At 37.8% G+C, this 16,519-nt stretch overlaps 1 protein-coding gene across 4 annotated transcripts in view; it reads right to left on the bottom strand.

Moving 5' to 3' along the window:
• Nucleotides 1–16,519, bottom strand: part of ELOVL6 (ELOVL fatty acid elongase 6) — a 153,357-nt gene that overhangs the window by 54,231 nt on the left and 82,607 nt on the right. For all 4 annotated transcript variants that reach the window (XM_011532233.4, XM_011532234.4, NM_001130721.2 and 1 more), the window contains one exon: nucleotides 5,421–5,552. In XM_011532233.4, the coding sequence (XP_011530535.1) occupies nucleotides 5,421–5,552 (132 nt within the window). The remainder of the gene's footprint in view (nucleotides 1–5,420; nucleotides 5,553–16,519) is intronic.

Genomic DNA, 16,519 nt, shown 5'->3' on the forward strand with positions numbered 1-16,519 from the left:
AAATGCCTGTCCTTGGGTTAGGTGGGATGTAGGTGGAAGTTGGTCACTATGCCATCATACTGGCCATATTTATAAAGATTAATTGACACCAGGACCTGGTGATTTGGTTCTGAAAAAGGGAGCCTGGAGGAATCGTGGGGAGAGATTTTCAGGGAAACCCAGAGAAATCTTCCTCAAATGAAATGATCCATTATAGGCCTAAGGAAAACTCAACTGGCCATATTTTGTTTACTCTAGCAAAGCTTATGATAGGTTTCAATAAATTACCACCTGAATGAAGACTTCTGTCTCCATGAAGGCTGCTTCAGTCAGCCCCCAAAAATAAAGAGAAAAACTGCAGGCAATTCTTGCAAACAATATTAAAACCCCATCACTTTTTGAAATAGACTGGTTTGAAGAGGTTTCTTTTGTTTGTTTTTTTTTAAGTATGCTGCAGATATGATTTAATTCCCATAATGTTGTCTCAGTTCATGAGTGAACAGTGTATGGCATCTGGAAATTAAGCATAACTGGGTCCCTGGCTACAGTTAAGAGCTAACAGGCAACCTTGAGGACTTGAGGGAAAAGAAATTATTCCTAAGCAGTGAAATACACAAAAATTCCTCTTTTTGGTGATTTTCCAAAAGAAAAATTTACTTCTTCTGAAATGTTTGGTTCTTTCTCTTTCCTTCATTTTCTAAATTGATTACGCTATGGTGGCAAAGGACGGGGAGATGGAGTGGGCGATAGGCCCTTGGGCCATCACCTCATTGCAGACCATCTAATAGAGGAACTATCTCCTGAGCAAAGAATTTCTATATTTTTGTCATTAGACAATAGTTGAAAATGCATGAATTATAGTGTAAGAGCCACTCAAAACTTTCTACAAAAATATATCCTTTATAATAATGAAGTTTTCATTTATGACCAAAATAGAAAATTTCTTAATACTCATTAAAACAACTGTTTGTGAAAAGCAGTTTTTTGTTTGTTTGTTTGTTTTTGAGACAGTCTTGCTCTGTAGTCCAGGCTGGAGTGCAGTGGCACAATCTCAGCTCACTGCAACCTCCACCTCCAGGGTTCAAACGATTATCCTGCCTCAGCCTCCCGAGTAGCTAGGATTACAGGCATGTGCCACCATGCCTGGCTAATTTTTGTAATTTTAGTAGAGACAGAGTTTCACCACGTTGGCCAGGCTAGTCTCGGACTCCTGACCTCAGGTGATCTGCCCACCTCAGCCTCCCAAAGTGCTGGGATTACAGGTGTGAGCCACCACGCCTGGCCAGAAGAGCATATTTTTGATGAATGTTTTATATCAACTTCATTCATGAAATATTTGGATTTCAAAAAAAAAAAGCAACTACTCACTTGAAATTCTACAGAATTGTGTAGGAGATTAGATATGAACATGTGTACGTATATTTTAGGAAATGTGTTAAATGCAGAAAAACACAAACAATAATAAATGGCCAATATGCAAAATTGAGAGTTGTCCACATGATTATATTTGCTTCATTTGTTCTGAATAACACATCACAAATTTTTTTTCTTCTAAATTGCCAGTCCACACCAACCAACCTGTACAAATGCTGAAATTTTTTATTTATCCATTTATTCATTCGTTCATTTATTTTTTGAGACAGGGTCTCACTCTGCTACCCAGGTTTGAGTGCAGTGGTGCTAAAATGGCTCAATGCAGCCTCAGCCTCCCCTGGCTCAGGTGACCCTCCCACCTCAGCCTCCCAGGTAGCTGGGACTACAGGTGCGTGACACCATGCCTGGCTAATTTTTGTACTTTTTGTAGAGATGGGGTTTTGTCATGTTGCCCAGGCTGGTCTTATTTTCTAATAAATCATAGGAATTTAATAAATAAGACATCTTCTCTGCTTTTGCCCCCCAAAAAGTAAAAAATTGAGTTTATTTTCTTCTAGTATCTCTATAAATATTTTTATATTAAAAGTATCATTGTGTAGTTAGCCTTTTTACTTCCATGCATTGTTGACTAGCATTCTTTAAGCATAGAGAAATCTCAATATGTTCTTCCAAACACAGAAGCATAGCATTCCATTATCAATGTTTCCCAAATTCTGGCTTAAAAAAATTAAGATCCACTTTTTAAAACCTTAGACTGCAGATGCTTGGATTTTTCTATATAGTTCTGGATTTTTAAATTTTATACAAAACATGGCTCTGAAGAAAGTAAAATAACAGAATTTTAAATGAAAGAGAACACAATAATTTGTCAGTCTAAAAAAGATAAAGTATCACCACTGACTTCTGCATGTGCATTGCAGGATAAAGTAAATGGGGAGTTACTGGCCAACACTGGGAATTTGGATTTTTGACCCGAGAGGAAGGAGAAATAAAAGTTAAGTCATAAGAATGGTAAAGATTGTTTGTGACTAGCTAGGGCAACATAGTGAAACTCCATCTCTACCAAAACAAATATAGAAACTAGCTGGCCGTGGTGGTACATGCCCATAGTCCCAGCTACATGGGAGGCTAAGTTAGTAGGATCACTTGAGGCTGGAGAGGTTGAGGCTGTAGGGAGCCGTGATTGTGCCACTGCATTCCAGCCTGGGTGACAGAGTGAAATCTTGTCTCCAAAAAAAAAAAAGTAAAGATGATAGATTATATATGTATATTTTACCTCAATAAGTAAATTTCCACTTCTGGCTTTTTTAAAGACTTAAATATAAGAACTTACTCAGCACCAACAACCACCTTTAGTACCCAGACAGTGGTTTCTAAATATTATCTTCTCTCCACCATAGGAATTAGGGCTCTGATATGGTTCAGCTGGGTCCCCACCAAAATCTCAACTTGAATTGTATCTCCCAGAATTCCCACGTGTTGTGGGAGGGATGGGGGACGGGGGGCGGGTAGGGGGTGGGGAGGGGCGGTAATCGAATCATAGGGGCTGGTCTTTCCCGTGCTATTCTCATGATAGTGAATAAGTCTTATGAGATCTGATGGGCTTATCAGGGGTTTCCACTTTTGCTTCTTCCTCATTTTTCTCTTGCCTCTACCATGTAAGAAGTGCCTTATACCTCCCGCCATGATTCTGAGGTTCCCCAGCCATGTGGAACTGTAAGTCCAATTAAACCTCTTTTTCTTCCCAGTTTCGGGTATGTCTTTTATCAGCAGCATGAAAACGAACTAATACAGGCTCTTTGGAGAAATGGCTGATTCCAGTTCTGGACAAGAAATATACAACATGCCTGGCCTGGTATCTTGTAATTAAAGAAAAAAAAATCAAACTATCACCATCAAAAGGAATAGCAATGGACTTAAAACACATCAAAATCATATCTCAAAATCACTGGCATATGAAAAAGTACATATCCATAAGTTTATAATGATTCTTAAGAAAACAAATCTTATTGTTTACATGCTAACTAACTTAAAAAAAAAACCTGATGAATATAGACAAAGAATCAAGCATTTATCCTAATCTTTGCTATAATAACTGTATATACTTCAAGATAACCGAATAGTTGATAAAGGCAAGTTTCTTCTTATAGAAAGCCTCTTCAAATATTACACCTGAATGTAATAAACCTTCTAGATCTAACTACAACTTATAAGAAATAGAAGGTACAGAAAAATGCAATCAAGCAAAATCCAGGCCAGAGGAAGCTCTATGGGGTAAACTATCTGGTTTCTTCAAAGGATGAATCATAAGGAAAAAGAGGAAATCTATAAGCCAAAAGATATCAGTTAATGGAAGTGTAAAGATCTCATTTTGATCTAGGTTCTTAAACTGTAAAACAGGAATCATTTATGAGACAACTGAAGAAATTTGAAATTTAATAAGAACAAATTATTAATTTAGGTGAGATCATAATACTGTGTTTGCTTTTAAAGAGTACTTAACCTTTAGCCATGGTATGATTTCAATAAGAATTATTTCAGCCTCTATTATTAATAGTTCCAAATAATTTGGGGATGAGAAACAAGGTGAGCAAGATTAAACGAAGTAAAATCAGCCAAGTGTTGACAATTGTTTAACCAAGGTAGGGGTTGCAGGGGAGTCATTGTACTTTTTTTCTCCGCTTACAAGTGTTAAAATTTAAAATAACAAAAGATAAAGGTGCAGGGAATATTGAAAAATCAGTAAAATGGTGAAAGGCTTCATTAGGATAGAGATAAATTCCCCACAAATATCAAAATACTTCAGGTGAGGCATACTCTGTCAACCTTAAATGTAAATAAAAATGAAAAGCCTTCTTTATATTATAGAGAATCATGATCTGATACAGATTGAACTGGAAGGAGATTTTAGTGACAGATCCAAATCATGAGTACTTCAAACCTAGGGCTTTAGAAATTGCACTGAAATAAAAAGTATATTCAGTAGTGGTGAGTAAGTGGGTGTTTTAGATGGAGGGATCCAACATTATGGAAAAACACAGATCATAAGAGTTTAATGGAAATACTCTTCCTCAGTCATTTTTAATAAGCTTTAAGTAACTAATGAAGCTTTAATGATAACATCCATTTCTGCTTAGAACAGTTAATATATGAAAAAATACAAATGAATATTTATAAATATGAAAATTAATAGTTTTGTGTTTCATAGTATATCTACATTTACTCCGCTCCCGTTCCTCCCCAAGCCTAGTTATGAACTTGCTGGTTTTGACAAGCAAAACACAAATAGAACAGGTGCCTTTGTTAGCACTCTAGGTAAATCCTGGCACTTGCTTGGACACCAGCTGGGTGCTAATTAGTCTTGTGATTGCCTAGATCACAAAATAATACAAGACTGGAAATGCTCCTGAAAGCTTCTGGAGGAATGAGTCTGCACACCAGCTGACAGATGCCCTGAGAGAACAGGCCTTGTCCTGACAGTCTCTGTGTTGAGTTCTTTCACATTTACAAAGCCAGAGCTGGCTACATAAACACATGTCTGCAAGTCAGTTCGGGGAATGAGGGTGGAGGGTGCTTTTGAAGATGCAGAGCAAAAGCATTCTCTGGTCTAGCAATACTGACACAGATGTCCAGTGTCTGGTCTATGTCTAAGTGTCATCTTTTGATTAAGTGTTAGGAACAGCACACCCAGGGTATTTGAACCCTGTTCTCCAATAGACTTCAACAGGTTACTTGTGTGCCTTCCCATTTAACCTTTCATCTATATTTAGCCAATAACAATAATGAATTGCTGTACTGCTTCTCATCCTAACAGATCAATCAGATTACTGCATGACCAATTTGGACAGGACAAGAGATGGCCTGACACCTCTCAAAATATATAAGGTTGAATACATCATGGCAAATGGTGGCAGTGAAGGCTTTCTTTCTGAACATGACTTTATTTTATGTCCTCATCATATTCAATAATCAAAAATATCAGATTTAAAATCAAATGCTCAATCATTGCATTCTTTCAGCAAGTGATAAAATGGATACGTTTTATTAGAAAAATGAAAAAAACCTACCTGAAGACTGCAAGGGTCAGAGACCAGAGCACTAATGGCTTCCTCAGTTCAAACTTTGCTCGTTTATTCATTAGGTGCCGACCACCGAATATAAAGGCAGCATACAGAGCAGAAAACAGGAAAGATTTCTTCCTGCAAACAAGCAAACAAAATCTTTAAGATATTTTTAGTCATTAGGAAACACCAAATTTTGTACCAGTTCTCCTCTTTGTAAGCACTGAAAAAATATTCTTGAGAATATTCCTGCTTCACTGAAGAGGGAGTCTAGTCTACACGGCAAACTAGTGTTCTGTTGAAATCTCCCTTGACAAATCAGGTCTTCCAGTAGTTTAACCAACATATTAAGTATCATGTCAGGATAGATATATTTCCTTTGTAGGCTCTAGGACTGAAATTTCAACAACATAGCATTGAAGTACAAAAAGTAGTCTTTTCACTGAGAGAAATAATTTTATTCTTTAGAGTTTGTTGAGCCAATTTAGATACATACATGAATTTTAAAAAGAAGTGTTTTTATTGGAACTATTTGGTGACAAGGTTGTGTCTTGGAACAAGATAGCCATTTAAAATTTTATCTTGGGTGGGTGTGGTGGCTCACACCTGTTATCCCAGCACTTTGGGAGGCAGAGGTGGGTGGATCACTTTAGGCCAGGAGTTTGAGACCAGACTGGCCAACATGGTAAAACTCCCTCTCTGTTAAAAATACAAAATTTAGCCAGGCATGGTGGTGGGCACCTGTAATCTTAGCTACTTGGGAGGCTGAGGCAGAATTGCTTGAAACCAGAAGGCAGAGGTTGCAATGAGCTGAGATTTTTGAGACTCCATCTCAAAAGGCAAAAGAATAAAAGAATGGTTATTCCATAGGCAGCCCTGAGGACTGCTGGCTGGCTACTTTTATGGGTTTTTTAATTACATGCTAAACGAGGGGTAGATTATTCATGAGTGCTCCGGGGAAAGGGGCGGGGATTTCCCCAGGAACAGAACTGAGGGTTCCTTCCCTTTTTAGACTGTATACTGTACCATGGCATTTGTGAACTGTCATGGTGTTGGTGGGAGTGTCTTTTAGCATGCTAATGCATTATAATTAGCATATAATAAGCAGTGAGGATGATCAGAGGTCACTTGTGTTACCATCTTGGTTTGGGTGGGTTTTGGCCAGCTTCTTAACTATATCCTGTTTTATCAGCAGGGTCTTTGTGACCCGTATCTTGTGCCAACCTCCTATGTCATCCTGTGACTAAGAATTCCTTACCTCCTGGGAATGCAGCCCAGTAGGTCTCAGCCTCATTTTACTTAGCCCCTATTCAAGATAAAGTCACTCTGGTACAAATGCCTCTGACAACAGTACTGATAATGCCAAAAGATAAATTCAAAAGCAAAAATCCACAAACTTCTATAATAGAACTATGATTCGACTGAAAGCAACAGAAACCTTATAAATAATTTAAAACAGTTGAGCATGTTTCCTGAGAAAGCAATGTTTCTCTTAAAATGGGTCTTCCCTATTCAATTAGATCAATAAGGAAAGGGTTGAGAAATAAGTTACAAAACATAATATCAAAAGCAAAATGTGTTCACCTAAAGAGTATTATTTGTAAAATGCTTCGTGTTTTCTCCCTTTATGCTGACATGTAATGCTGACTCATAAGGGACCTTGCTATTTACACAAGCAGCTTTCCTATGTAAATGAATGCAAGTGACCTACTTAGTGAATACCACCAAATAAAGCAATGATTCCAGAAATCAACCCATAAGTAAATGTTGAATAAATCACTTTCACTGAGGTTTACAGACTCTTCTCTTGGGCCCACAAGACCTGGAACACAGTAGGTGCTTAATAAATATCTGTTGAATGAACGTGGTCTTGTCCTATCAAATTTTCTGATGGGGAAAATAATCAGGCATCTGTGTACAGTAAACAGGCAGCAAACACTAACAGAAAGTTGTACTTTCCCCGTAATACATTAATAACTAAAGAGTCAAATATTCAGAAAAATATTATGATACATTTTCTTCCCCCAGAAAGACATTGATTATTTCTATACTTCAGTGAAACAATTTTGTGGAAACTTTAACTATTGGACATTTCAGGAAGAAAGTACTTTTGGCCATAAATTATATATTGCTTTATTTCTCCTCTGGAAATTACAAGGGCATGGAATTAAATTACTTAAGAGTCACAATCACTGTTTCTGTTTATGCACATATAAGCAAAGACTAAAGAAAAATAAAGTTCTACCAAGTTAATGTAGGTGATAGTAATCTGAAAAAGTATATACTTTTTTTCTAATTTATAAAGGTAATAAGTGACAATAATCACATTATGATTTATAGAGTGATTCCTATGGGTAGACATAATGCCAAAAAGCTTTACCATTTAATCCTCATGGTGCAGGTAAAGTATTATCTTTATTTCATAAATAAACAGGCTTAGAGGTAAAGTAGCCCTAGATTTTCCTGTTCTTGTGGTAAACTTTCAGAAGAAAAAGGGGTACTTGAAGTGTTATCTTATAAGCTGTAAAAATTCCTTAAGCTGTCCTGTTGAATTACATAATCATTGCATAATGTGTAGAACATTGTGTAACTGTGAAAAGATGAAGAAGAATTTCCCATCTTCATGTTTCTACTGTCATATTTTCTGAGCCTGGGAAGCTTTCATCCAAACCCTCTTTGCTTCTTTGAGAACAGAAATTAATTATACATATACCATGGAAGACATTTCCTTAAAATTACCATTATTTATCTTACCCATTCAACATAATTGAGATTCTGATTATGGTTGTATTAACTGTATTACTTGCAATCATAAACCAAGTTAAATGAATATCTTCATACAATCCTATCATTCTAGCCATAAAGGGAAAAGTAATGCCTCAAGAACCAAGAAAAGAACAAAAAATCTTCCCTATGTATTTTTTCTCCAATTTCCTAACTTCTAAAATGAGAATTAATCCTAATGCACTGCTCACTTCCCAGCAAGGGCCATTCACTTTTCCACAAGAGCTCTCTTTACAAAGCAATTCAACAGCTAAGGCAATGAAGTCAGTCAGTACAGAATCATAGAACTTGATAATTGCAAGCAAGGAACCTTAGAGGTGGAGCCCAATTTCCTCCTTCGACAGAAAAGAGAATAGGGAACCGATGACAATAGTCACTCACAGTCACACAGCTTCATGCTACACTGGTCAAGACTATCCAACATTGTCATGGCTGTGGTCAAGCAGGTAGGTAAACACAAAATAATTGTATAAGCTATATCAGGGTCACAGGTAGTTAATGGGAATCGGTTTGAGTGCTGTGATCAAAGTAAGTTTTTCATTGCATGCACAGAAATCTTTTACTGTAGTGAAATTCAAATCCTTGGGGTTAGTTTGGAATTAAACCTAAGCATCTGCTATAAGTGGAAGTTGCCTAAGCATTAATAATTACCTCTTTAACTGAGTTGTCATTTATGGTTGAATGTACTATTTGTTTTCCATATTGCTTAGAAGAAGGTAAGATTTTCTTTAATGAACAGGACAATTTAAATGAATTAAAATTGCCTTTCCTTTCTGGCATCTCTCCGGTAAAGTTCAATTATATTCAAGATGAATAATGGTTTGCCACTAGCCCACTTAGTTTTTAATGTGGATAGATTGCTTTCCTAATGGTTCTGTGGTAATACTTTGTATACTGGCAGGCCTCCATACTTGGGTATAATGGTAACACTATACTGTTTTATTATTAGATAATCAGTCATTTTGAGATAGCATGGACTCTTCTTGTTTAATAAATTTTAAATGTGCATCATATAGCACAACCCATAATTATAGGTACTTAATAAGTACTTTTCAGTGTGGTGATTCAGGAGTTATGATTACCAGGTGACCAACCAAATAAAGACAACCCAAATGAAATACTGATGTGCTTTAATTCTGTCAAGCTTATATTTATCCTTTTTACCCTTCTATTTCTGTCATCAAGATGAACAATGGAAATTATTCCATAATTAATAAAAATGAATAGTGGATCTATCCTTAGAAATCTGAATTTCTCTATCATACTATCTTGTTCCAAAGCATTCCTAGGACATGCTTTTTTGATTCTTACCAGAGTAGCTGAGCAAGTTCTCACTTATGATTGGTATTTCTTGCTTTACCCATTAACATTTCTGAAAAAGTATGCATAAATTGAAATACATGTTTTTTTAAACTCGTGGGATTTCACTGAAACCAGTGCTTAGCTTGAGTCTCGTTAGCATTCACGTCAAGATTTCTATACCCCAAGAGTCAAACTAGTTTATTTGCTAATGAAGAAATGTTTATGTGGGTAGTATTTCAACATAGGATAATTGCTAATGAATAGCTTGGGAAGCTGGCCTGAGCTCCCTCCTGGCTCTTTCATGTCGTATCTACATGGCCTTCATTATGGCTACTGTACACATGTGAGGTACAAGGAGATGGGAAAGTAAAAAGCAGTGAGGGGAAAAAATGAAAAGGGCACCGCCCAGTTCAGCTGATACCTATCTACCTAGTGCAGAGAAAGTTTTCATGTTCTAAGGTGAAGAGTCTGACGCTGAGACAGAATGCCAACTGGTGCACCCCCCTCCTCTTTTAAGAGTCCTCTTGCAGTTCAGTTGCTGACTCAAGTCAGGAAACAACTTATGGTTCTGAAAGTGATTTTAGGGATACAAATAAAGTAGGGACCCAGAGACTAGAGGAAATAACACTACTTTTTGCCAATATGACATTTAATGTATGTCTATGGTGGTTATAATTTGATAAGAAAATAAGATTTTCTTGAGAGGGATCCTGAGGTTTCTTGAAGTCCTATCCAGGGCTTAATTCTGCCACATTCTTAAGGATTCTGCAAGACTTCATATAGGCATTTTTTTTACGTTAAAAAAAATGGAAATTTTTCCGCAGATTTTTTTTTTTTTTTTTTTTTTTTGAGCCAAGGTCTCATTCTGTCATCTAGGCTGGAGCGTAGTGGTGTGATCATGGCTCACTGCAGCCTCAGCCTCCAGGGCTCAAGCGATCTTCCCACTTCAGCCTCCTGGGTAGCTGGCACTACAGGTGCGCCTGATTCTTTTAATTTTTTTGCAGAAATGGGATCCCAGTATGCTGGCCAGACTGGTCCCCAACTCCTGGACTGAAGCAATCCTCCTGCCTCAGCCTCCCAAAGTGCTGGGATTACAGATGTAAGCCACCACACCTGGCCAGGAGGTTTTATTCGTAAGTAAATTAACCATATGCCCAGAAATTCTGACAAACAATTTTGTGAATAATCATGAAAATATGCCCGTAATTGATACAAATGAAAAGTGGCTTTACAATTGCAAGACAAAGCCATAACTAAGGTAAAGGTTCCTTATTCTTATTCCAAGCTGTTGTGTATGACCAAGGATACCAACTAAGGTGTGATTTCCAAGCTTCTTTGAGTTGTAAGCACTTTACCTTTTTGCTTCCCCCTCCAGATACTAATTTAGAGATCACAGGTTCTCCTCATCTATTTTTTTAAAAAAGGTGTGAGAACTAGTTTTTAGTTTTTCTATCCTTGAAGTAGGCCATAAGCAAAGTAGAGTTACATTTAGTCCATGAGATTCAATAACATGGCTGCACATCCCTTTCCAGGAAAGTATACCCCTCTTAGAAGCAGATTGGACACAGAAATTCCTTGTATACATCTGTAAACTTATCTTTTTCCCCCCTTGTCACCTTTTAAAAAATCTTGGTGCATTCCGTTTTTGTATTACAACTGGACATAAGATTTTGGGGGAGAAAATACTCTCAAAATGTTAAAACGAAAAAACTGCACATCTAAAAAGACTCTTTAATACTTAAATCGGCAGGTTATCAATTCCCTTTGTTTCCTTAGAATTCCTTTTTTTTTTTCAGTAGCTGATGAAAATGTTGACATCCACCCATCCATTCAAAATTCAATAAACCTTTCAGTTTTTTTTTTTCTTCTGTTAGGTTTAAGCCATGGCCAAGAAATTTAATAAACTCATTGTATTCCTTTGCAGTATGGTTAGTAAGACATTGAATGAAAAAAGGATCCTTATGTGAGAGTAAATTCTGCCTCTGCTAATCTAGCTAGAAAGAAAAATTTACATGGTAACACATGGTTATATAGGGGGTCAGTAGCAAATGTGTGTTACAGATAATGTTTTATAAAGAGCTAAGGAAGGAGACTATTGTCATGAGAAAATGCTGTGGAAGATTTAAGAGTGGACCCTGAAGGTTTTGGATGGATGGGCAAAGGGCAAGTAGCAATAGGCAATGGAGTTAGGTGTGAGCTAAACCGGGAGTCTGTCATACCAGATGCTGTGGGTTGGGTATGGTAGAAAGCCTGTTTGGAGATGCGGGCTAAAGTTGGGTTGTGTGACATTCTGAAAACTGCAGCAGAGTTCAGGCTGTATCTGCACCTCAAGTTTGCAGTAAGTTGTGAGGCATGTGCCCAGTAATTTGTTACTACTAATTAAAGTACAGGACTGAAATGTATGGCTTAATTTTCTTTTCTTCTTTTTCTTCTTAAATAAACAATAGACTAAATCACACATACCCCATCATGTCCCATGGGTGAGAGATGGGGAAGTAATAACTTGTGCCCCCAGAAAAATGGATAGAGAACTGCTGGATGAAGTCATGAAGGGTACTGAAAGTCTGAGCTGGGAAGGAAGACAGAATTTAAAAAGATGTTCACAGAGAAACTTGGTATGCATTATTTCTATCCCTGAGGGCAGATGTGGCAAAAGTTGAATTCCTGATCTCTCGATCAATGCACTGAAGTGTGTGTGTGAACTGCGGCTCTTCACAGGAATCATCAGATGGGATCACCTTTAGGAATGAATATTCTCCTGTTCATAGTAAAAGATAGCAAACCGCTAGGCTAATCACAGCATTATTTCAGTAGAGTTGATGTTTGCAGCTCAGAGAATTGTCAGTTTCAATCCTAAAGCGTTGCATCTTAGAGAGGTACAAGAATACTTTTTGTTTCAGTAGATATGGCTTAATAAAACTGATCAGAAAAAATCAGTTTTGAAGTTAGAACCAAAGACTGTAGACTGTCCTTGCTGCTCTAGTTAGCAAAATCAAACAAAGAATTAAAATCCGGGCTGAGTGTGGTGGCTCATGCCTGTAATCCCAACACTTCGGGAGGCTGAGGGGGGTGGATCACTTGAGATCAGGAGTTCAAGACCAGCCTGGACAACATGGTGAAACCCCCTCTCTACTAAAAAAACAAAAACTTAGCTGGGTGTGGTGGTACATGCTTGTAATCCCAGCTATTCAGGAGCCTAAGGCAGGAGAATCTCTTGAACCTGGGAGGCAGAGGTTGCAGTGAGCCAAGATCACACCATTGCATTCCAGCCTGGGCAACAGAGCAAGACTCCATCTCAGAAACGAAAATAAAAACAAAAGAATTAAAATCCATTCAATTTTTTATCTCCTTAGAGTAAAGCTTGCCGGCAGGGCACAGTGGCTCACGCCTGTAATCCCAGCACTTCGGGAGGCTGAGGCAGGCAGATCACGAGGTCAGGGGATGGAGACCATCCTGGCTAACACGGTGAAACCCCGTCTCTACTAAAAAAATACAAAAAAAATTAGCCAGGCGTGGTGGCAGGCGCCTGTAATCCCAGCTACTGAGGAGGCTGAGGCAGGAGAATGGCGTGAACCTGGGAGGCATAGGCTGCAGCGAGCCAGGATTGTGCCACTGCACTCCAGCCTGGGCGACAAAGCAAGACTCCGTCTCAAAAAAAAAAAAAAAAAGAGGAAAGCTTGCCATCACCCCCAAGTCAAAACCTGGCAGAAAACATATCAGTGACTGGGCATGGTGGCTCATGCCTGTAATCCCAATGCTTTGGGAGGGCAAGGCGGGAATATTACTTGTCCCAGGAGTTCGAGACCAGCCTGGTCAACATACTGAGACCCCCTCCATCTCTACAAAAAAATTAAAAATTAGTCTGCTGTAGTGGTGCATGCCTGTAGTCCTAGCTACTTGAGAAACTAGGGTGGGAGGACTGAGCCTAGGAGGTTGCGGCTGCAGTGAGCATGATTGCCCCATGCACTCCAGCCTGGGCGACAGAGTGAGACCCTGTCTTTAAAAAAGCCAAAAACAAAACAAAAAGTCATTGGTCTTATTTAGACAAATCTCCCATGCCCATCTGAAAACAAACTAAAAATGATCTCTATGATGAAAAAATAATTTCTAGTTTCTGTTTTGTTTGAGAGTATTGATTGTTGCAGGTGAGAATTTCCAGGTAACGATCTAGTGATAGTAAAACAAAACTCTTGTGGCCATTTAAAACAGTAATTTCTGAATAAGAGAGGCAGCATGTAGAAATAGAATTCAGAAGGTGGTTCCAGCAGCAATTCAATTTCATTGCACTAATTTTCTTGAAGAAATACTCTTCATTCTACGAGAAAGGTAGCATATTAATTTCCAATGAGGCAATGCTCACTTGTTAAATTATTTCAAAATATAATAATGATGAGCCAGGCATGATGGCATGCACCTGTAGTCCCAGCTACTCAGGAGGCTGAGGTGGGAGAAGCCCTTGAGCTCGAGACATCGAATCCAGCCTGAGCAACATAACAAGACTCCATCCCTTGAAAACGAAAAAAAGTGTAACAATAATGGTAATATAAAAACTGTACTATAATTCTGAAATGCCTCCTATTAAATAAGAGTAGTTGAGTGACTCTCCTGTCACCAAGCTAAACTTTATCTCCTATAGCCTTAAAAATCTATTCTATAATATAAATGAAGCATTAGTCATCTATTTTCCTAAATATAAAATTTTATTGGGCTTGAAGTTACACAAATACAATTATGGGCTATGTCAGTCAAAGCTGTAGGCATTTTTTTTTCTTTTTTTTAGATCTTCTTTTCCAGTCCAGTGGCCTAATGACCCTAGACATATAGAATCTCAAGATTGGAACAGACCTTAGACATCTAGTCTAAACTTTTCAGCTTAGGAATTCCTGGCTAAAAACTTCCTGGCTGATGGTCCTCTAATTTCTACTAAATGTAGAAATAATGACTGGAACTTGGAGGTCATTAGTTCCTGATCATATGGTACAGCTGGGCTTCTTTAAAAACTGACCCAAATGCTGAAGCCACTCATCCTTCCCCTATGGATGACCAACACCCTTTCAAACTAACAGGCTACACTTAGAGTTGAATATAAAAACCTGTTTCCTGATTGTCTTTATCCTAAAGAAGCCTAGGACGTCTTATAACTAATAGACCTATCAGAGCTGGAGGCTAAAACTAGAAGTGAAAAAACACTGTCAAAAGGAGACAATTATTCACAATGCATTGAAAACCGGATTTCAGGTTTATAAGATTAAGTCCAATTCAAACTGAAAATTTTCCTAGATTTAAATCAAAACCAAGAAAAATAACAGCTTGCACAATTATATAAACAAGCATAAACATATCCATGTTTATGAGCACTTTCTCTGTACTCAAGGACTGACATTTATATCAAAGGAGAATCCATTTCTGTTGTAGGTTACCACTACCTTAATATTTATATAGGGTTTTCATTTCCCCAAATCACCTCATAGACAGCTGAAAATTCCAAAAGCTAGAAAATAAAATGAAGGGGAAAACATGGCATGTTTTCACGTTAACTATTGGATAAATAAATATACTCCTGTCACTAATGATTCCCTCAATATAAATTTTGAAAAGAAACTGGGGAAGCAATGAGAAAATATACCCCAAATACTATTTCTGGATTAGAGAAAATATCTCAGCAGTGACGATGATCTCATGGTTAGTTTATAAATTGATTTTGTCAGCAAAATCAAATGTACATAAGAAATTAAGCTTGAGAAAAAACTGGCAGTAATCAGAAGAAATATATTTTTAGTAATGAGTGAAAATGACTTAAACATTGTTTTTACTTATGAGATTATCACCCGATTACCCAAGAAAGAACTCTGAATTTCATCTTGTTCTTAAAAATAATAATATAGGGCCAAGCATGATGGCTCATGCCTGTAATCCCAGCATTTCGGGAGGCCAAGGTGGGAAGACGGCTTAAGGCCAGGAATCCAAGGCCAGCCTGGGTAATATGGTGAGAACCTGTCTCTACAAAAAAAAACTTCCAGAAATAATAATAATATGGCAACATTTTGACTGGGGCTTTCATACTGCTCCTTCAAAATCTGAACTCTCATTCAGTGACATAAGAGGATAAAGTTTGCAGACAATAGCTTTGAGAACTCCGATAATGGGGACAGCTACAACAAATTCTCACAAACTGAATGGCTTCTAACAAAACAAATGTATTATCTTACAGTTCTGGAAGTTAGAATCTGAAATGAGTCTTACGGGGCTAAAATCAAAGAGTCACCAGGGTTGCATTTCTTCTGAAGGCTCTATGGCAGAATCCATTTCCTTGCCTTTTCCAACATCTAGAGTCCACTTGACATTCCTTGGCTCATGGCTGCCTCCTTCTCCATCTTCAAAATGCATCACACCAAGCTGTTTCCATGGTCACGTCACCTTATCTGACTCTGATCCCCCCAACTCCCTGTTAAGAACCCTGTGAATATAATGGGCCCACCAGATAATCCAGGGCCACAGCCTAGAGGCTTCCATTTTAACAACCCATGTGATTAGATGTCCCCTGCCCAAAGATATTCTGGAATAATCTCACCATCTCAAATTCCTCAACCTAATTGCATCCGCAACATGTCCTTTGCTATATAAAGTAACATATTCACAGAAGATGGGCACATTTTTGAGGGACTGTTATTCTGTTTACCATGTGGATTAAACTAAATCGTAAGATCTAAAGCCATTCTTCTACTAAAACACATAGGAGACCCCTACAGATGCACATGTTTCATGTCTATTCCTGGTTTGCCATCCCCAAAGCCAGGTTCTTCCCCTCTACTCAAGAAAGCATTTTAGAATCCAAAGGGCGAGAGCAACACTCTTATGGAGATTGTCTTTAAGCAACTCATTAACATGTGACTCACAAATATCAGCATCTGAACTCTTAGTAGCACATGACTTACTGTATCCTTTACAATGAACCAGGTACCTATGTTCAGAATTTCTAGTATAATATACAATTTACTAAAATTACTAATATGTATTCG

This window comes from Homo sapiens, chromosome 4 (genome assembly GCF_000001405.40).
Source record: "Homo sapiens chromosome 4, GRCh38.p14 Primary Assembly".
In the NCBI taxonomy this organism is placed as follows: domain Eukaryota; kingdom Metazoa; phylum Chordata; class Mammalia; order Primates; family Hominidae; genus Homo; species Homo sapiens.